General features: G+C 43.4%; 1 protein-coding gene across 27 annotated transcripts in view; it reads left to right on the forward strand.

Annotated features, from left to right (window-relative positions):
- PDE8B (phosphodiesterase 8B) overlaps positions 1-19,948 on the forward strand; it is a 341,542-nt gene that overhangs the window by 254,964 nt on the left and 66,630 nt on the right. For 16 of the 27 annotated variants that reach the window (NM_001414622.1, NM_001414623.1, NM_001349750.3 and 13 more), the window contains 4 exons: positions 3,175-3,253; positions 7,741-7,881; positions 9,387-9,475; positions 11,668-11,728. In NM_001414622.1, coding sequence (NP_001401551.1) covers positions 3,175-3,253; positions 7,741-7,881; positions 9,387-9,475; positions 11,668-11,728 — 370 coding nt within the window. The remainder of the gene's footprint in view (positions 1-3,174; positions 3,254-7,740; positions 7,882-9,386; positions 9,476-11,667; positions 11,729-19,948) is intronic. The other 11 variants (NM_001376073.1, NM_001376074.1, NM_001376075.1 and 8 more) reach the window with 4 other exon arrangements.

Genomic DNA, 19,948 nt, shown 5'->3' on the forward strand with positions numbered 1-19,948 from the left:
TACAGTGCTTCGTCCAGTTTTGGACCAGGTGCCTGGAAAACACTGTTGATAAGACTAGCTCTTGCTGTCTCTTATGAGGCAGTGCAGTGACAAATTTGGTAGCAGTTTTAAAGCCCCCTTTTATTCTTGTTTCTTATTTTAAATTGTGTTTACAAGTGGTGGTACTAAGACAGTATACAGTTCAAATTAGGTAGACTGGAGCAATTTAAATAAGAAAATATACTACTGCGCCTGTAAGCCATTTCAGTTGAGTTAGGTTAATATTCTCCTCTGCTCTTCTAACCCGTATCATGATTACTTGTTACACTTACCTTCTCACACTGATATCTTCATTTCTGCAACTATAGGAATGGCGTCTTGCAGTTGGCTAAAATATTGCACTCCGCACGCATACCTCACTATTATTGAATACAGTTCTTGGTTTGACATTTCAGGTATACTTATGAGAAAAGATAGGTTACGATTCATTTTTTTCACCAAAGCCTTTTGAAAGCCTTAGAGAACAAAGAAGTATTACTCTGTGATCTTAAACATAACAACAGGTATCTACATGTGTTGTATTCTCATATTGTCCCAAGCACTTCGAGAAATGCCTCACATAAACTATCTGTTTTGATCTTTACAAAAACCTGTGAAATACGTATTATTATCCTCATTTTATGGATGAGGAAACTGAGGGCCATTGAAGACAAAAAGTTGCCTCAGGTCGCATAACTGGAAAAATACAGAGCCAGATTTCACCCAGTTCTTTCTGCCTTCTTCCCTCTAAACGGATCAAAATAGGAAGACAAAGTTAGAATGCCTTTATGAGTGGAAAAAAATAACATTTTTCAGAGTTTTTTTTTTTAAAGAAAAAACATCAATCCAGTAAATCAACAGTTTTTTTTTATTTTGTAATGTGTAAGAAAGCTTTTTATTGGGATTCTTTAAACAGTCAGTATAAATAACAGAGCTCTAGCTACATGCTTGCTGTGTTGGACAGTAAATAGCTTACTGTATTTGGAGTTGCTCTAGATTAGGAAATTAGTTAAAACTATGATAAACAAAATGAGAGTTTGATTCCAAATATTCCAGAAATATAGGGAAGGTCACCAAGAAAAGTCCCCACTGGAGAGCTGCAGAGGTGCAATGAACCAGCAAGGGGAGTTCTGCTGGGTTTGCCTTTCACCATGCCAGGGGGAATGGTTGGAAGCCGAGTAACATCACAACAGCAAAAAAGGAGAAAAAATGTTTTTGTGTCTGTTGCAAAAGGCCAGAATACCTCACATCCAATTTGGGCCCAGTTAAGTTCTCTAATTGTTGGAGACTTAACTTCTCCATGACCACAACTGTGAATGAAACAGAAGAACGTCATTGCCTCGTGTTAGTGTTGAAGTTTCATTCAGCACACACATAGTCCATTCCATGATCCACGAAGATTTCACTGAATTACAATTCTTTTTGTATCATACACACAGATATATATGCTATTGTTTATGCATTTAGTTTGAAAGATTAGTTTTTTTCCCTCAAAGCATATTATTAACCCTCTTAGTCTGTTAGGATTGCAATAATGAAATACAGTCATGCATCATTTAATGATGGGGATATGTTCTGAGAAATGTGTCGTTGGATGATTTTGTCATTGTGCAAACATCATAGAGTGTACTTACACAAGCCTACGTGGTATAGCTTACTACACACTTAGGCTACGTGGTACAGCCTGTTGCTCCTAGGCTACAAACCTGTAGAGCATGTTACTGTACTGAATACTGTAAATACTTTTAACACAATGGCATTTGTGAATTTAAACATAGAAAGGCACAGTAAAAATGCAGTATAAAAAGAGTTAAAATGGTGCACTTGTATAAGGCACTTAGCATGAATGGAGCTTGCAGGACTGGGAGTTGCTCTGGGTGAGCTGGTGAGTGAATGGAGAGGGAACATGAAGGCCCAGGGCATTATGTGTATAGGACTATAGACTTTATCAGCTTTGTACTCTTAGGCTACACAAAATTCATTAAAACATTTTCCTTTCTTCAATAGTAAATTAGCCTTAGCTTACTGCTACTTTTTAACTTTATAAACCTTTATATTTTTAAACTTTTTCACTTTCTTAATAACATTTAGCTTAAAACACAAACACATTTCACAGCTGTACAAAAAAAATGTTTCTTTATAACATTATTCTGTTAGCTTTTTTCTATTTTTAAATCTTTTTTTTTTTTTTTTTTTACTTTTTCAACTTTTTTGTTAAAAACTAAGACAAACTTTGGCTGGTGCCTACACAGAGTCAGGATCATCAATATCACTGACTTCCCCCTCCACATCTTGTCCCACTGGAAGGTCCTCAGGGGCAATAACACACATGGAGCTGTCACCTTCTATGATAACAATGCCTTCTTCTGGGATACCTCCTGAAGGACCTGCCTGAGGCTGCTTTACAGTTAACTTTTCTTAGTAGTAGAAGGAATATTTTATCTAAAACAATGATAAATAGTATAGCAAATACATAAACCAGTATCCTAGTTATATCTTATCAAATGTTATATACTGTACATCATTACTGTATTGCTACACATTTATACAGCTGATAGTTTAGTGGGCTTGTTTACACCAACATCATCACGGACACGTGAGGGTGTTATGTCTGCTACGACACCACTAGGCAATAGGAATTAGGTTATAATCTCGCAGGACCACCATTGTATATTGAGTCCATTGTTGAAATATCGTTATGAGTTGCATTACTGTATCTTAAATTGAGTAATTTATAAGCAACAGAAATGTATTGCTGACAGTTCTGGAGGCTGAGAAGTCCAAGATCAAGGTGCCAGCAGGTTCTGTGTCTGGTGAGGGCCTGTTCCTCATAGATGGCACCCTCTCTATGTCCTCACATGGCAGAAAGTGCAAGGGAGCTCACTGGAGCCTCTTTAATAAAGGCATTAATCCCATTCATGAGGATGAAGCCCCACTGACTTAGCCACTTCCCAAAGGCCCTGCCTCTTCATACTATCACATTGGATGTTAGATTCCAACATATGAACTGTTGGGAGACATCAGCATTCAGACCATGGCAATAACAAAAAGTACGTAGATTTGATGAACCTGGTATCTGTTTACTTTGTTAAATTAACAGATGAAATGTGAATGGTTTTCATAGAAGAACTAACTTCAATCTTTTATAACTTTCAGGGCCTGTAATTCAGTGTTTACAGCATTAGATCACTGTCATGAAGCCATAGAAATAACAAGCGATGACCACGTGATTCAGGTATGGAAAGAAACCACCTCTATCATTAACATTCAAAATGAACCTTTCAGGTTTAAGCCACACTTTTTATCAAGTACTTTCCCATCATCCTCATGTATCAGCACATTTTCTTAGGAGAAATAAATATCAAGCTGTGCAAAGAATACTGATAGACTTAAGAATTAGATATTCAATAAAGAACAAAAAATTATTACTTCAGATCAGAACCTGCAATTTCTTTGACAGAAATGGGGTTTAAAAAAATTTTATTTTTTTGAGACAGATTGTCACTCTGTCGCCCAGGCTGTAGTACAGAGGTAATCTTGGCTCAGTATAATTTCTGCCTCTCAGGTTCAAGTGATTCTTGTGCCTCTAAGTAGCGAGGATTACAGGCATGTGCCACCACACTCAGCTAATTTTTATATTTTTAGTAGAGATTGGGTTTTACCATGTTGGCCAGGCTGGTCTCAAACTCCTGACCTCAAGTGATCCACCTGCCTTGGCCTCCCAAAGTGCTGGGATTACAGGTATGAGTCACTGCACCCAGCTAGAACCGGGGTAAATTCTTTTGACCATCTGTGAAGACACTATTGACATAGAAGTAAGTCAGAATGGTACAGCAAATGCTTATAAATGTCTAGGGAACAGAGTATTTTCAAAGACATTCATTTGTTTACCTGCAGTGGGTATCCTAATTACAAAGCATTCTTACATGAATGTCATCCTCCTAAGGAAATGTGTGTAGCAGAGAAACCTTTCAAGAAATGAGGTGTTCTTATTATAATTGTTGGAAAGTAAGACATCTGTATTTGTAAAATACCCTGAAATATAGACTTTCCACGAATTGGTGCTTGCCTGCCTGCTGTTGGTTTGCAGAGTGGCATGGAGTGTGAGGAGCACTTATCAGTAGGGCACCAAAGACAGTGGGCAACACACAGCGAAGCCCACAGCAGAAGCCTCACATTTGTCTGCCCTGAAATCTCCCAGTGCACACATACACACCTTGTTCTCATACCAGACCAATGACATCAATAGCCCACCCTGCCTAGGCCCTGTCATCAGCACTTTCATTAGGTTGTCTCATTTCTATTCAATAAGGGTAGGCAAGAGACATCATTGCCCTATAGTGCAGATGAGGAAACTGAGTCCCAACAAGGCCAAGGAACTTATCCAAGGAAAGCCTTAGTAATAAGTATCAGAACTAAAATATGTAGTCATGTCTCCAAAGCCTTCCTACCTGGTTTCCTGTTTAGCTGTATTGTTAGAATATGTTTTATGGCTGCCCCGTGAAATGTATCTGAAGGCTTCCTCATGATGCTGGCTCTTAGTGGCCCACCTGCCCACAGGTCTGCCTCTTGGACCTCAGAGAGAGCCAGACGTGTTTCTGTTACAGACCAAGCACAAAAATCCCACATCTCCCCCACTTATACCCCGACTTGGACAATCGATTCTATTCATGAAGCACATTTGCTTTGCACCTCCCTGTTTTGCAGTGTGCAGCTGGATTTGATTTCAGAAATGAGGAGAAGGGGCTCCCTGCCCACTAGCCGCCCCTCCACCTGTAATCTAACAAACAACTTCTAGAATAGGGAACAGAGTCTTTCATTCTCCAGTTATCAATTGGTGGTTAGAAAACCTGTATCCTTGGGAGAGGTAATATTGTGATGGTGTCACATTATGATATTAATCATCTCCCAGCCTTTGCGATGAACAGGAAGAAGCAGGAGCATGAGGCCAGTATAACAGATGCCTGTAAAGGAGAGGTGGAAGGAGAGTCACTGCCTTTAAAGGGAAACTTGGATTCTGAAAGAAGACCTTACAGCTTTTTTCTCAGGGAACCTTTTCATCCTCCTTTAGAAAAATGTATCAGCAATCTGTAGTATGGAACTTAAAACAAGAGGAAGGAGGAAGGAGCTGAATAGAGGATGTTATATGTATGGTGAAATTACCTATGTGCTATAAATTTTGAGGATGTCATCATTGGATGGGATAGTTAATATATGTTCTTACTTGATATCAGCATCCTTTTCAGGGCACTCCAATCAAATAGTTAGATGCCTTTTTGAATACAAATCTTCAGAGGTCAAGTAGCAGCACTTAAAATTTAGAAGCAATATCTACCTATCTGTGTCTGTCTATCCATCTGTTATCTATCCACCCATCCATTCCTCCCTCCTTTCCTTCCTGTCTTCCTCCATGCCCCCATCTATCTAAACTCTATATGTATTTGCTTTAAAACACTTAATTGTTACTTGCCATATACTAGGCTCAGTTCTAAGCATTTCACACATACTCATTTATTTCTTAAAGCAATCCTGTGAGTCAGGTATCACTATTGTACTCATTTTGCAGATGAGGAAACTGAGGACCAGGGAAGTTAAGTAATTTGTCCATGGTTCTGTAGCTGGTAATTGGCAGAGCCAGGATTTGAACTTGGGTGCCTTGGCTCCAGAATCCATATCTGGGAGTACCTGCTGCATTCTGAGGTTTCAGGAACCCTGGTGTGAAAGAAGGGCCATGACTTCTACCCAAATTTACAACTTAATAGGGAAGGCAGAATGAACACACATGAAAAGGTATGAGAATATGGCTAACAAATAAAGAAAATAATATATTCTCTAATATTTTCTATTCATTCCTCAAATAGTTAATAAACAGTCCTGAGTATCCAAAGATCAATTCAAAATAGCCTTTGCCCTTGAGGAGTTGAATGTCCACTGGGAGAGACAGAGATAAACAAAAATTTAAATTCGGTGTAATAAGTCACTGAAAGTCTGCACAGGCATCAGTGGCAGCTCTTGGGAGTGGACTAGGTAGGGGAATCAGGGAAGGCTTCCTGGAAGAGAAGAGGGATAAATTGGAGTTGGAGAGGGAAAGAGACAGGGAAGGGTATTATAAGCAGAGAGAGCACGTGGGGAAAGGCCCGGAGATGAGAGAGACATGCAGACAGCTCAGCAGCCTGCAGAGGTGGCCCCGGGAGGTATGAGGCTGGCTTTGTGAGCAGGGGCTACGCTGTAAGTGATGCCCTTCCCTGCCTAGGGAGGGCCCTGAGTACTACATGTCAGTAATGGGGCCAGGAGGGGGTCTGGAGATCCATGAAGACAATATCAGGCCTCCTTCTCTTCAGTCACCCACCAAAGGCCTGATGACCAGAGCATCTTCCAAACCCCTTCAACTCTCAGGGTTGATCGTGTTAATAGAAGCTGTGTCTCCCAAGGAACAGCTCCCCAAGTGTCCCTGTGCCACCCTGTTCATGACTGCTGCCATCACAGTTGAGGGCAAGAGTGATTACAGTTGGTTCGAACATCTCCGAAGCAGCAGATGGATGCAATTTAAGCCCAAAGAAATTCATGACCCAGATGCAGTCTGTTTACATTTTCCCGACATTCTTCACCGCTTGTCTCTCTCCACTCAGCCCCCATCTGTGATCTTTGAAAAGAAATCAGAGGGTGGGACAGGACCTGGGAGTCATCTAGGGTCATGGCTCTAAATTCCAGGACCCCAGGCAGAATTTTGAAAAGAAACCTCTGAGTCTGCTGGCCCCAGAATCTGCCGAGGGGAGCTTCACACCTGCCTGAGCCCAGCACTGAAAGGGCTGCCTCCTGCCCCAGCCATTTAACTGAATTTATTGTTCTGATTCTACTGGTAGTGTCCCCAAACTGTAGCAAACATTGATCAATAGATAGTGGCAATTGGAAAGGAGACATGAGAAATCCAGTTGTGGAGATGTGCATAATACAAGCCGCCACTGTTGAATGGAGTTCTTATTTGTTCGTTTGTTTGTTTATAAGAGACAGGGTCTTGCTGTGTTGCCTGGGCTGGAGTGCAACGGTGCAATCATAGCTCACTGCAGCCTGAAACTCCCAGGCTCCAGTGATCCTTCTGCCTCAGCCTCCTGAATAGCAGGGACTACAGGTGTGTGCCACAACAACTGGCTAATTTTTTTATTTTTGTGGAGGTGGAGTCTAGCTGTGTTTTCCAGGCTGGTCTTGAACTCTTGGGCCCAACTGATCCTCCTGCCTCAGCTTCCCAAAGGGCTGGAATTGAATTACAGGCATGAGCCACTGTGCCCAGCCTGAAACTTTCTTTTTTTAACTACAAACATATGGACCCAGTCCTAATTTATTTTTATTTCTTTTTTTGTCTGAGTTTTTCCTTATTCATGGGGCGGTAGATGGTGAATGAGTTCCCCAAGAGGCTGGTACTGCTAGATGAGGGCTTCCTGTGTTTTTCCTGCTGAAGTTTCTTCTGATATCCTACAGGGGATCAGGATGGCAGTTGAATGAATAAATTGCTGCCAGGAAGGAGGGAACTCCTCCAGGAAGGGTTTGGGGATGGAAAGGGGCAGCAGGACCTGGCCAGCTAACTGCATTAGAGAATGTTTGCCCTGGGAACTTCTTGCTTGATATTCCTCTGGGTCCCAACAAGTCTTCCTACGGGGCACACAGACATTTCATGAATTCTGTCTTGTGTCCCCGCACTGATCTGTACCAACCTCCCATTAACAGTATGTCAACCCAGCCTTCGAAAGGATGATGGGCTACCACAAAGGTGAGCTCCTGGGAAAAGAACTCGCTGATCTGCCCAAAAGCGATAAGAACCGGGCAGACCTTCTCGACACCATCAATACATGCATCAAGAAGGGAAAGGTGGGTTACACCAGCAAAACCAATCCACGAACCCTCTCCCCAATGCACTTTTTTTTCTGAGTTTTAGAATTTCATCCTTAAGATTAGCTTTTTTAATAATGTCATAATTAAGTGAAAGATCTATTATGTTTGCAAAATGAGTTCGTTTTTAAGTTAACTTTGGAACTCAAGTGAATCTGGTGCTTATCATTATGGTACAGAATCTGGTGATTTTGTGTGAAAACATTTCATCCTGTGCATGAATATGTCCCATCTGCCATTGCTGGAATATCGTGGGTATCTCTGAGCAGAGTTCCACCCAGAGAGCTGTTGTGTTTTTTCAGTTTATCCAGTGTTTGGGAGACTAGACATATTTAATACCAGTATTTATAGGTAGGCCAGGTTTTTTTCCCAGTTTTCCTTTTCTGTTCTCTGATCGCTGTTCAACATACATTTGTAGCTTCCTCCTCCCAGCTGCACCTGTTCCTCCAGTGGCTTCCCCTTCATCTGGGTAGATGAAGGTAATGATGGAAGTCCGAGAGGAATTTTCCCTGAAGCCCTCTCCTCCTGTAGAGCACTGCCTCTCATCGCTGGAACTGCCTGTGCATTTTCTGTTAAGCATTCAGAATGCTTCTTCACATACAATTTCTTTCATCTTCCTTTCTGTGATGTGAAGTAGTTAAATAAGCCCTGTATCCATTTAATAGAGGGAACATTTTAGAGGGATAAGATAAATTTGGATTATAGATGATGATCAAAATGTTTTTTTAATTGAGGCAATGAGACCAAAAAGGAAACAAGACATTGTTAACTATTCCAAAGATTGTTGCCAAAAGAATATAGCCACACATACCAAGGTGCATACCAATTAGCCACCTTATGTGATAGAGGGGACAAGAAATGGCTGCAGGGAATCGGAATCTCAGTTTCTGATTAGCCAAACCTCCCATGTTCAGAGAACAGGAACCAATACTCTCCCCTTGGCCTCTTTCACGGAAGCTAAGAGGAGCCAGAGTAACCCCCGAGAAGCCTTGGCTGGGGGGCCCGTAGGATGTTAGGAAGATGATGGGCTTCAGCGAGTGTTAAGTAGACATGAATTTATACGCAGATTTTCTGCATCCTCATGTGGGCAAGTTACCTAGACTCTCTGAGCCTCAGTTTACCCACCTGTAAATTTAGTATGATAATGCCAAGTTCACAGATTGCTGTGAAGATTTTGAGAGAGACCTCCAAAGAATCCCTTGACCTGGTGCCACAGCAGCCATAGGGCTGAGAGCAGAATTCCACCCACAGGTCAAGTGTCCTGGAAGCTGGGACAGACAACCTGGTGGTGGATATGTGGATCTGTGGTCTTGTTTTCACACATGTGGCCACATCAGCATTGCACTGGGTACAACAATACAGCAGGCATTGGGAAATGTAACGAGAGCATGTGGGAATGTTCCTTCTCAGCCTTCTGAGACCCTCTGCAGGAGCAGCTGTCATCCTTGACTGAAGGATTTTAAGAGCTCTCTTTGTCCATGTAGGAGTGGCAGGGGGTTTACTATGCCAGACGGAAATCCGGGGACAGCATCCAACAGCACGTGAAGATCACCCCAGTGATTGGCCAAGGAGGGTGAGAGCAAACTGTTCAACTCTTTTAGCTGAAGATAAAGACTCAAGGCCCTCATGGGCATTGGGCTTGAAATGCCAGTATGAGCCTTACATCCACAAATGCAGTAGGGTTGTGCTGAATGTAGTATAGATCGAGGGTGCTTCCACTCAGCCGGCAGCAACCCCCAAACATGGTTTTCCATGTCTTTTATGAAGCATCACCCCAACCTCCCACCTCCACCTGATCACCTATGCCTTCTGTCATTCCCAGTGTGCTCTAAAGGGGCTTGATTTCTGGGCTTCCCTTTCCCCATAACAACAATGATCTCCTGCTGGTGCTCTCTGGCCTCTGCACTCAGTGCATAGGGAGCCAACCTTTTCTCCTGCTTGAGGCCCTCGCTCCATGCTGGTTCCTCCAGGCCGGTTCTGGACTTGTTCCTTGGAGGCCCACTGTTTATGGAGAGAAAGGTGTGTCTGACCAGGAGCTGAGGGCATCTCAATCCACTGAATCTCAGATTACCAGAGAAGCTTCTCTCTTTTGTGGAGAGATAAGAAAAATATGCAATTCCTCTTCCTTCCTCCAGTTAAATTTTGTGAGATTTACAAAGCCAAACAGGACCCCCTAACCATACATCATGGTGAGCCGTGGGGAGCCAGCCTGAAGGTCAACACCAGGTTCATAGCTTGGGTGTATAAGGAACACAACGTTGTGTGACATGTCAGAAAAAGATGAGGCCACAGTCATCCTGCCAGGAACTGGAACAGGAGCCCCACCTGTGACTCTTAGGACTACCTGAGTTCCTTGCAAATTGTTGTATGAATAGAAAACGAGATGTTTCATAAAATCAGCCAGGTATTTGTAATAGCTTGTTTCCCCTCCAATTTTGGTTAGTTTCAAAATTGCTCTCCCATCAATTCAGGCTACGTCCCGTCAATACCACCTGGTATTTCATGCCATTTTGTAATTTGAAGCTCCCTTTTTGCTTCACTCTGGATGATGGGGGCACTGACAGGCCCCTGACCGAGGTTGTGAGCTGGAGAGAGGCTGCCCCTCGGCCCTCCTCCTGAGCAGCCTGGCCTCAGCGTGGCCATTCTCACCCACAGGCAGTGCTGAGAACTGTGGGGTGGAGATGATGCCCGTGACTGTCACATTGTTTTTATCCTCATCCTTATACCATCTCCTCAGAAAATCAAAGCTAAGAATCCCTTTCTGTGTGTGTGACCAGAATCATTAGGCAACCAAAGCAGAGGAGACATGCTATTGCCTGGTAATTTCCAACAGAATACACTTTTCTGGTCTCTCTGATTTTACAGATAAGAAAAAGAAGTTCTTTTGTCCAGACACAATTTCCAGTGTTATTTTCCCTGTAATTGTAGGCAGTGAGCTATCAGAGGCAATTCTTATTAAAAGTAGGGAAATTTTACCTCTTCCTAGTTGGGTGAAGTTTATTACAGAGTAACCAGTATTTTATATCCTCTTTTCAGAGGCCTACAGAGAAAAGTGAACCAGGTAAAGAGAGAGAGAGAGTGGGATACCCCACGGGCTTCTGGGGGCAAAAAACCTAATGTAACTCTCTGGATTTCATGGTTTTACTCTCAGTAAAATATTGACTGTGAGCTGATTTTTGCATGGGGCTGAGGCACCTGTCATCTTTTGCCCGGTTTTCCTTGTGACAGTGATAAAGAGTGAGGCTGCCCACTGAGTTTCAGGACCCAGTCCATGACGTTGAAATGAGAGGATTTTTATCTGCCTGAGAAGTGCCATTATTATGACAATTATAGTGTGAAAGAATATGGGATATTTAATATAAAAACAGCAGCCATGAAATGTGGTCATTGTCCAAATGAATCTTTTGTAGCTATGCAATTATTAGTATCAGCAGAATTAAAACTAATTTATTTGTAGCAGCATTTTATCCTATCAACTGAAGATATCTAGGAACCAAACTTTAGGAGTCAGTTACAAAATAACATACCCATTAGGGAAGTGTTTCTGAGCCCTCTAGGATGTATAAAGGAGGCCCAGTTTCCAAAGGCATGTGTGGGCTCTGTGTGAAAACTGTGTTTTCTGTAGATTGAGTCTTGCTTGAATTTTAAAACTGCCCTAGGACGAACCCTGGAGTTTAGCTTTAAGAAGTCTGTTGACATTTTTATTTGCTGATTTGTTGAATCATCTCATATCTGACTCACTAATAACTGATTATTTGTTATTAGGAAAATTAGGCATTTTGTCTCGCTCAAGAAACTGTGTTGTACCACTGACAATAATAAGCAGGTATGGTATTAGCTCACTTCGTTTGCTCTGTCTGTTTGGCCATGCGTCACCTCTGTTCTCTGCTTATCTCACCACTGTTCTCTGCTTGTCTTTCTCCATGTCTAATTGTAGCTGCCAATTAAGCAGATTTATGGGAAAATTTGGTTCCTCTGACAAATCTTTTTATTTCCCAGCAAACCTATATCACTTTATTTGTAGTGCACATCGGTTATGATTTAGCTTGTGGCTGAGGAACTCTCTAGACTAATATATGAAGGCATAAAATTTTTCCTCCAAATAAAAAATGTTCTATTTTTATCTTAATTTCTTAATCAGTTGGAAAGTATATATCCATTTGAGCATTGCACCCCTACAAATTCATATCAAAAACAAGAATCATTCCAAATTAGTACTGCAATTTTTTCTTACCCTTACATCATACAGAAGAATACATCTGGATGTTATCATCTGCAGTAACAGAATTTTAAGAAGCCACTTTATTTAAGAACTTTTTAAGGTAATTTTGTAATGGAGGGCAACATTGGTGTAGGTATTTTTTCTATTTGATTAGTACTTTTACTACTGGATTATGTGTATTTTCACTTCATGCATTGTAATTTGTAGATTAACAATTATACAACAAACATAATTATCAGTGATCTATTTTTGAAAACTTACAACATGTGGTCTTTGATTTTTATGAGGATTTTAAAGAGGGACAGTATCTCTAAAGGATTTCAAGGGCTTCTGTGGCATAATCCATTTTAGTAGAGGATGGCAGAGATGTGTGAAGTGCTGGATGAGAAGGTGAAGCCCAGCCAGGCCTGGAGATCAACTGGAACCAGCAGGACGTGAGTAGACAGTGGGGTGAGCCCAGTGAGCCCGTGAGGGTCTTCAGTCGGTTGTCTCAGGATATCAAAGGGGTCCACGTCCATGTGCTCCTTTATAAGATATAGTTGGAGATAAAGTCCTTCCTCCAGCACTGAGAATCTCATCTGAAATCAGGATGTTTTCACATAATACCATGAAGTCATGCAAGAGGCAAGTCCTTGGAGACCTCTGGTAAAGGAAAGAATGGCCTTTCATAGGGAAAAAAAAGGGTTCCAACAGACATTTTGCTACATACCAGGAGAAAGAATGAGTTCTTCATAAGAGCTGACGCAGGCAGAAAGAGAGGGACAGGACACCTGGTGTCTCTTTCGAGACAAACTTCTGAACACAAGCAGTGCAGACCAACATTTCTTGGCTGTGGATCCACAGTAGAGGACACAGGTCCACTGGGGTTCATTCATTCTCATGCCAGAAATTGACCAAGCACAGTTCATGTCCAGTTCATGCCTTTCCCCCACCAACTCAGCCTTGCTCCTCTTCCTTACCTTCTTTCTCACTTAATGACAGGGACCCCTACTCTCCCTGTCACCAGTCTCCCTGCAACTCCATGTGCCCAAGTCCTACCAGTCCTTCATGACCCAGTGCAAGAAACATTAAGTATCACCTTCTTTCTGAAGGCCCCTGAGGTACCCTCTTTGCTTTGTATCACCCACCAACCACCGCCATCATCTTCACAGCTATTTGCGTGCTAAACTGCCCTCTCCCCTCTAGCAGGGCCACTGGTCTGTGCTGTCCTTGTGTGCCCACACTGCCTGGCATGTAGTAGGCCCTCAAGCTGGTGGCTAGCGTTAATGAAACTGAATGTCTCAGTCCTGGCCTCCTGCCAGCTGTAAAGCCCTCCTGCCTCACAGGGAGAGCAGGCAAGCCCTTAGCACAGGACTTTAGGATACAGGGGTGGGGGGCCACCTGCTTTTTTTCTGAGGCTCTAAGTAGAAACGCCTTTACTACCATGAATTAGCTGCTGCTCCTAGAAAAGAGGAAATGCAGAGCTCGGATACCCTGAGCCATTGACGTCACCTAATGGTACTGCACAGGCCTGGAGAGACATTTAGATTTTCTAATAACAAAGCATTTTTATACCTCTGGCTAACTACAGTGTTTTTCCTCTTCATCGAAGGAGGCTGCAGCGAATGGCAATGGGATCTGTGCTGGGGAGGGCACCTGTCTGCAGGCGGTTCCGGTGGTGTGGTTTTCTGGGGTTTAGCCCTGATGTCAAAATCGGCCCATGGGTTTGCATTTTAACAAGGTGTGACGTGGTAAGCCAGGCTGCTCTCTCCTGGTAAGGCTTGCCGTCAGCAAAGATCCCTTTTCCTGTATGAGCCCTGTAGCTTTTTGCCAAGAGGCTGGAAATGCTCAGTGAGGTTTGTCTGTTGTCTTCCTCTCCTCTGCACACACACTTTCTCCCCAAATATGTGTTAAACACCTGTTCTGTGCTGGCACCAGGGACACAATGCATCTGCCCCCAATGTCAGGGAGGCCACAGACAGGTAAACAGAATAAATAGAATGCAGCACAGAGGAAATGTGAATCAAGCACTGGAGGAGCTCAAAACCCAGGACCTAAGGAGGCTGTCTGGGATTTTTAGCTATTGTGTAAAATAGGGGCCAAGAAACTAGAGCCTGCAGGCCAAATATGGCCTGTTCTGTAAATAAAGTTTTATTGGAACACAGCCACACTCTCTAGTGTGTTGCACCTCTGGCTGCTTTCATACTGTGGTGGCAGAGCTGAGGCCATGTGGCCTGCAGAGCTTAAATATTTACCCTCTGGTCCTGCACAGAAAAAGGTTGCTGACTTCATTTCTTGAAGATAATTTTCTTTCTTGGATGTTCCATTTTCTTAGGCCAGCAACAGTCTGCCCTGACCTCCCAGAAGTACCCCTTCTCCCCTTCATACACTTCTTTGGGCACCTTTTGCCTTCGTGCTAGCCTCTGCGTCCTGTCTCAAAGCCTATCTCAGCCCCTGCATACTGGTGCGGACACGAGAACCTAGGTCCCCTGAGGCTTTTTCCTTTTCACAAGGACAAAATCCAAATGCAAATTCATGGCTCAGACTTCAGAATTTCAAGGATCTGCAACCATGGTCCAAGAGTCATATTGCATAGGGAAAAAAGGAGGCAGTTAGGGCCCTGACATTATATCTGCTCTTGTGTCTTGTTTTGTTTTGTTTTGTTTGAGACAGAGTCTCACTCTGTTGCCCAGGCTGGAATGCAGTGGCACGATCTCAGCTCACTGCAACCTCCGCCTCCTGGGTTCAAGTGATTCTCCTGCCTCAGCCTCCCAAGTAACTGGGATTATAGGTTTGCGCCACAGTGCCTGGCTAATTTTTGTATTTTTTGTGGAGATAGGGTTTCACCATGTTGGCCAGGCTGGTCTTGAACTCCTGACCTCAGGTGATCCACCTGCCTCAGCCTCCCGAAGTGCTGGGATTACAGGTGTGAGCCAACACACCCAGCCATCAGCTCTTATTCTTGTTACATTTTTAATGTGGCTACTAGAAGTTTTAAATTACACATGTGGTTTGCATGTGTGGCTCACACAATATTTTTATTGGACAGACCTGGTCTGGACTTTCCCTACCCTGCCAAATCCTATCACAGATTCACCTCACTTGCCCTTTTGCAGGTGACGGGATGCTAATGAGCTACAGACTTCCTCTCGTTTCTAGCAATGAGTCAGCTCCAGACTCACTGAGCCTCCAGGAAAAGATACTGTAACCAGTTTCCCAGGCCCCTAGGAGGCTTTTACCCTCACTAGAGGACATTCTGATGGGTGCTTAAGCAAACCTATAGAGAATGTCTTTGCGGGGAGATGCAGGGCCCCTTTCAATCATTCTCAAACTGCTGCAGAAAGTTAGGTCTCACTTTCTAGAGCTTGGTGGACAGTGGGGAGTACCATGTCCTACTGAGTGTACTCAGGCAAGGGGACACCACAGCCCTCAGAAAACTAAGCAGAAGTGGGATGCATGGGAGCCAGTGAGGGCCAGTGGACAGTTAGGCACAGTCATCATCCCTGCTTGTCTGGGCAGCAAAGTGGGGATGGCTTATTCTCAAAGAGACCACACATGCTTAGAAACCCTTTAGCCATGGGTTGAGATGGGTTTCCCAACCATGGGTTAAAGGAGATGGTCAGCCTCCCCTAATTAAAATGACCTCCTGCCCTTTTGTGGGAACAGAGCAAAGCTACCAGTTGACAGCTAGTAAGATTTTTTTTCCTGGCACAGCCTGGCTTCACCAGCATGTCACAGAGGAGACTGCCCCACAGTTCTCACCAGGATCTAGGAGCTTCTCTCCAAACCCAGCAGGTCCTGGATCATGGGCCTTGTCTGAGATGTGTGCGGTCTGAGTGTGACCAACAGGCTGCTCCACCAAGCACCGTTGGTCGATTTCTTTTTTGCCTCGTAGGACTGTGCTCACAGCCCCCTGAACCCACAAGGACCCAAGGACTCAAGGACTCTGTAGTTGCTTGTGCCCAGTACTACAGGAAAGAGGCAGGCTGACGCCATCTTTCTTTTCTTCCTCCCTCTTTTGCCTTCTCTCTTTTATCCACACTCTACCTTCAGTCACCTTCTGTAGGCCTCCAGACAGTCCACAGATTTTCCCATCCAGTCCTTACACCTTCATGGACCATCCTCTCAATGGGTTTCTGCTGCCTGCAACCCTTGGTGGCCCATTCTGGTTCCCACCGCCAGGCCAGCCTTCTCTTGGGTGTGTCCTTGGCCTTCACTGCCCCCATGCCTTTACTCTCCCCACATTTGCCCATTTCTGTTTCTCTCATCCCTTACCTTTCTAGGGGTGGTGTGGCCGATGGGCCTTCTCATGATTTGGGGCCTTCTCCTCCAGCTTCTGGCAAACCATGATCCTTAGCACTAACAGAGTCTAATATCTCATGGCATTCTCAGCAGAACTGAGAGAAGAGGGTGGTGGGGGTTCTGTTCATTGCTAAGTAGTGATAAAAACAAAATTTCAATTTGTCCTAAATTCCCAGTACTTGGCTCTTTTACATGCTTTTAAATAGTGTGGACCTTTTGTTGCTTCCCTGTCCTTTAGGACTCAACTCAGCTTCTCTTCCCCCCAGGAAATCTTCCAAACCTTCCAGCCCATGTCTCTACCCTGCAAAGAGGGAGCAGGGACACTTTTTGTCTGCACCACCCATTGGATCATTAATCTTATGCTGCTTTGGGTGAGTTCTCGCCTTAGGGCGGGGACTGTGGGTTATGCCTCTTCGTACTTCCTCCTATGTATGCCCCATAGACATCAGGAAATTATTTTGAAAACTAGTTTTTACTCCTTAACACAATAACCTTTGGATGGCATAGGAAATTAAAGATGCAACTTCTGTCTTATCCCGAATTCTTATTCCATGTAGAGTTGATCTATATGTAGCCAATATATGTCTCACATGGTGTTACAAAGAATAGTTTCTGTACTCTTCCAAGGCACACATCCAAGTGTGACTTCTTTTTTTAAAAATTGGAGAAAAAGGCTACTGCAACTGAAAACATGACTGCAGTTATCTCTAAAAGCAGCTAGTCACAGAAATGTATTTTATGTAATTGGAATATTACTATGATACAGACTTTGTACACGTGCACCTTATTTGTGTGCCCCAAAATATTTATTGACATATTTGGTAAAGCCACAAGGTAAACAAAATTATCCAAATTTTTCCATTTAGCTTTAGTACGTATTTACAAGAATCTATTTAAAGAAAGGCCTCTGATATTGCGAAACCACATTTTTTTTTCCTGAGAAACCACGTTTGGAACAGCCAACCCCCGAGCAGACATGAATGGAATACCTGCTACACATCAGGGACTGTGGGAGGCTCTGAGGGCACAAGATAAGCAGGGGCTTGCAGCCGGGAGGAGGGGACAGGGGTGGGGGTACTGAGAATCCAGGGGTAGGATTCTGTGTTTGAGAAGTCTTGACTTAGAGGAGGGAGAGACAACTTCACGCTTGGTGGTGATGGTGGCTGCTGGAGGTGATCATGCCAGGCTCTGTGAAGTTCCAGAGCATCTGAAGCTGAGAGGGGGCTCTCTTGGCTTGCGAGGGAAAGGGTAAACCGATAACATTCTGGGCATGTGCACCTACCCTGAGCATGATGTGAGAGGAGGCTGCCTAGTTTCAGGTAGACACAGGTGCCCTTTGCCCTGGCAGAGAAGCTTACCCTCATGGCCCGCAGGACAGCAGGCTGGGGGGTGTCTGCCCTGCACGGATGGGGTTTTTTGACCCGTCTGTTCTCTCATTCTATCCTTTCTGCTACATCGAGGATGTTTATAAGGCAATGGATGTTTGTTTATAAGGTATCCCTATGGTGGGGATAAGTGGGAGGTGGAGAATGGGAAAATCAGAGGGAAAGAAGCTATAGGTCTGAGCTGGAAATAAAGTGTCTCCTTGTGTGAGACCAGTAATGCCTGCTCACCAGTAATAACCAGCTTCAGCAGGGACCCCCACCACCCCACCTCACCCTTAGCTGAGCCTCAGTCCTGGAGGCCTAAACATAGAGAAAAAATAATTTGACTTAAGAAAAGTAAGATAGACTGCCGGGCGCAGTGGTTCACGCCTATAATCCCAGCACTTAGGGAGGCCAAGGCAGGCAGATCACGAGGTCAGGAGTTTGAGACCAGCCTGACCAACATGGTGAAACCCCGTCTCTACGAAAAATACAAAAATTAGCCAGGCGTGGTGCACCTGTAATCCCAGCTACTTGGGAGGCTGAGGCAGGAGAATTGCTTAAATCCAGGAGGTGGAGGTTGTAGCAAGCCAAGATCATGCCGCTGCACTCCAGCCTGGGTGACACAGCGAGACTTCATCGCAAAAAAAAAAAAAAGAAAGAAAAGTAAGATAGGTTTGGTAATGGATAATGAACAGACATAGCTGAGCTATTTCTTAAAAATTAATGTTATCTATTCATCTCTAATGCATTGAAGACCACTAGGATTTAAAGAGGAGTATTATGTTGGCGTTTGGGAGGAGGGTTTTTTCCCGATAAGTTTAAAATTCCAAAGGTTGCACTTCTACATGACTTGTGTCATTCAGACTATTACAAGATTCTGCTCACTCCGGAGGCTTGTACTAATTAAGCCCAAGAGACTTACAGTACCTTAGGCCTGACTTCTGTTAAAGTTTTACTTAATATACCAATTTTTAGGCCACTTATGGGTGTTAGCACTCTATGGAAAATTTTCTTTTTCCAAAGCAACAGTTGGTGGCTGACTTTTCAGAAGGAATTATTCACCTCACATGAAGGAATCAGTTTCTGGCATTTTGCTCAACCTAAATCATCCATTCAGTGAGCATGCATGCCTGCTGGCACTTGGCCCAGTGGAAGATACAGGATGGATGAGACTGAAGTCACTCCTTGCATCTGCTCTTGCTAGAATAGAATCCCTGGCTTGGCTAATGAGACCCCCATTTACCCAGTCACCCCCATCCTAACCTGGGAACCACCTTTAGCATCCTTGCTTTCCTGAGCCCCCTGCATCCTAGAAGCCACTTAGTTCCAAAGGTGATGTCTTTGAAACAACTCTTGACTCCATGCCCACTTCCCAACCCACCACCACTTCCTTTAAGCCATTATGACCTCTCATCCTACAGAGCCTCATGACCACTCCCTCTGCCTCCTTGTAATGTGTGCTGGAGCCAGTTCATACTGACTTGTGAGAACTGATTGTTTAATTTTCTGGTATTTTGTGATTTAGTGTTAAACCAGCCATTATTAAAAATTAAATTATATAAGCATGCATTTAAGCAAATTTTATTTGTAAGAAGTAATAAGTACTTACATTCCATCCCTTCCCAAGCACATAACTATATTTTACTATCATGTGTGCTCTTGACATTTGTACGTCTGTTTTATCTGTATTATGGAAATGCCAGATAAAGCTGTGCCCTGCACACATCTTCCCAACTCCACATTCAGTGACATCATTCTGGCAGCTTTAAACAGCCATGAAGGGAGTATTTTTAGATCAAGAAAATTGGCAAACTCTACAAATCAGGACCTTTTTTTAATTGATTTTTCTAGACTTAAAAAAATGATGAAGAAAATGTTAATAATACAAGATAAACTTAAATGTGTATCATGTCTATAGTAGTTTCATTGTGAATAACCCAAAAATATCAAGAATGATTCCCCCAGTATTTACAAACTATTATTTGATTCAACAAAGAAGTTCCTCACATCACTGACAAATGAGTGAAATTTCTATGTACACCTTTGTTATTTGTCTTTCATCTTACTTTTTTTTTTTTTTTTGACATGGAGTCTCGCTCTATTGCCCAGGCTAGAGTGCAGTGGCGCGATCTCGGCTCACTGCAAGCTCCGCCTCCCAGGTTCACGCCATTCTCCC

Source organism: Homo sapiens, chromosome 5, assembly GCF_000001405.40.
Source record: "Homo sapiens chromosome 5, GRCh38.p14 Primary Assembly".
Taxonomy (NCBI): Eukaryota; Metazoa; Chordata; class Mammalia; order Primates; family Hominidae; genus Homo; species Homo sapiens.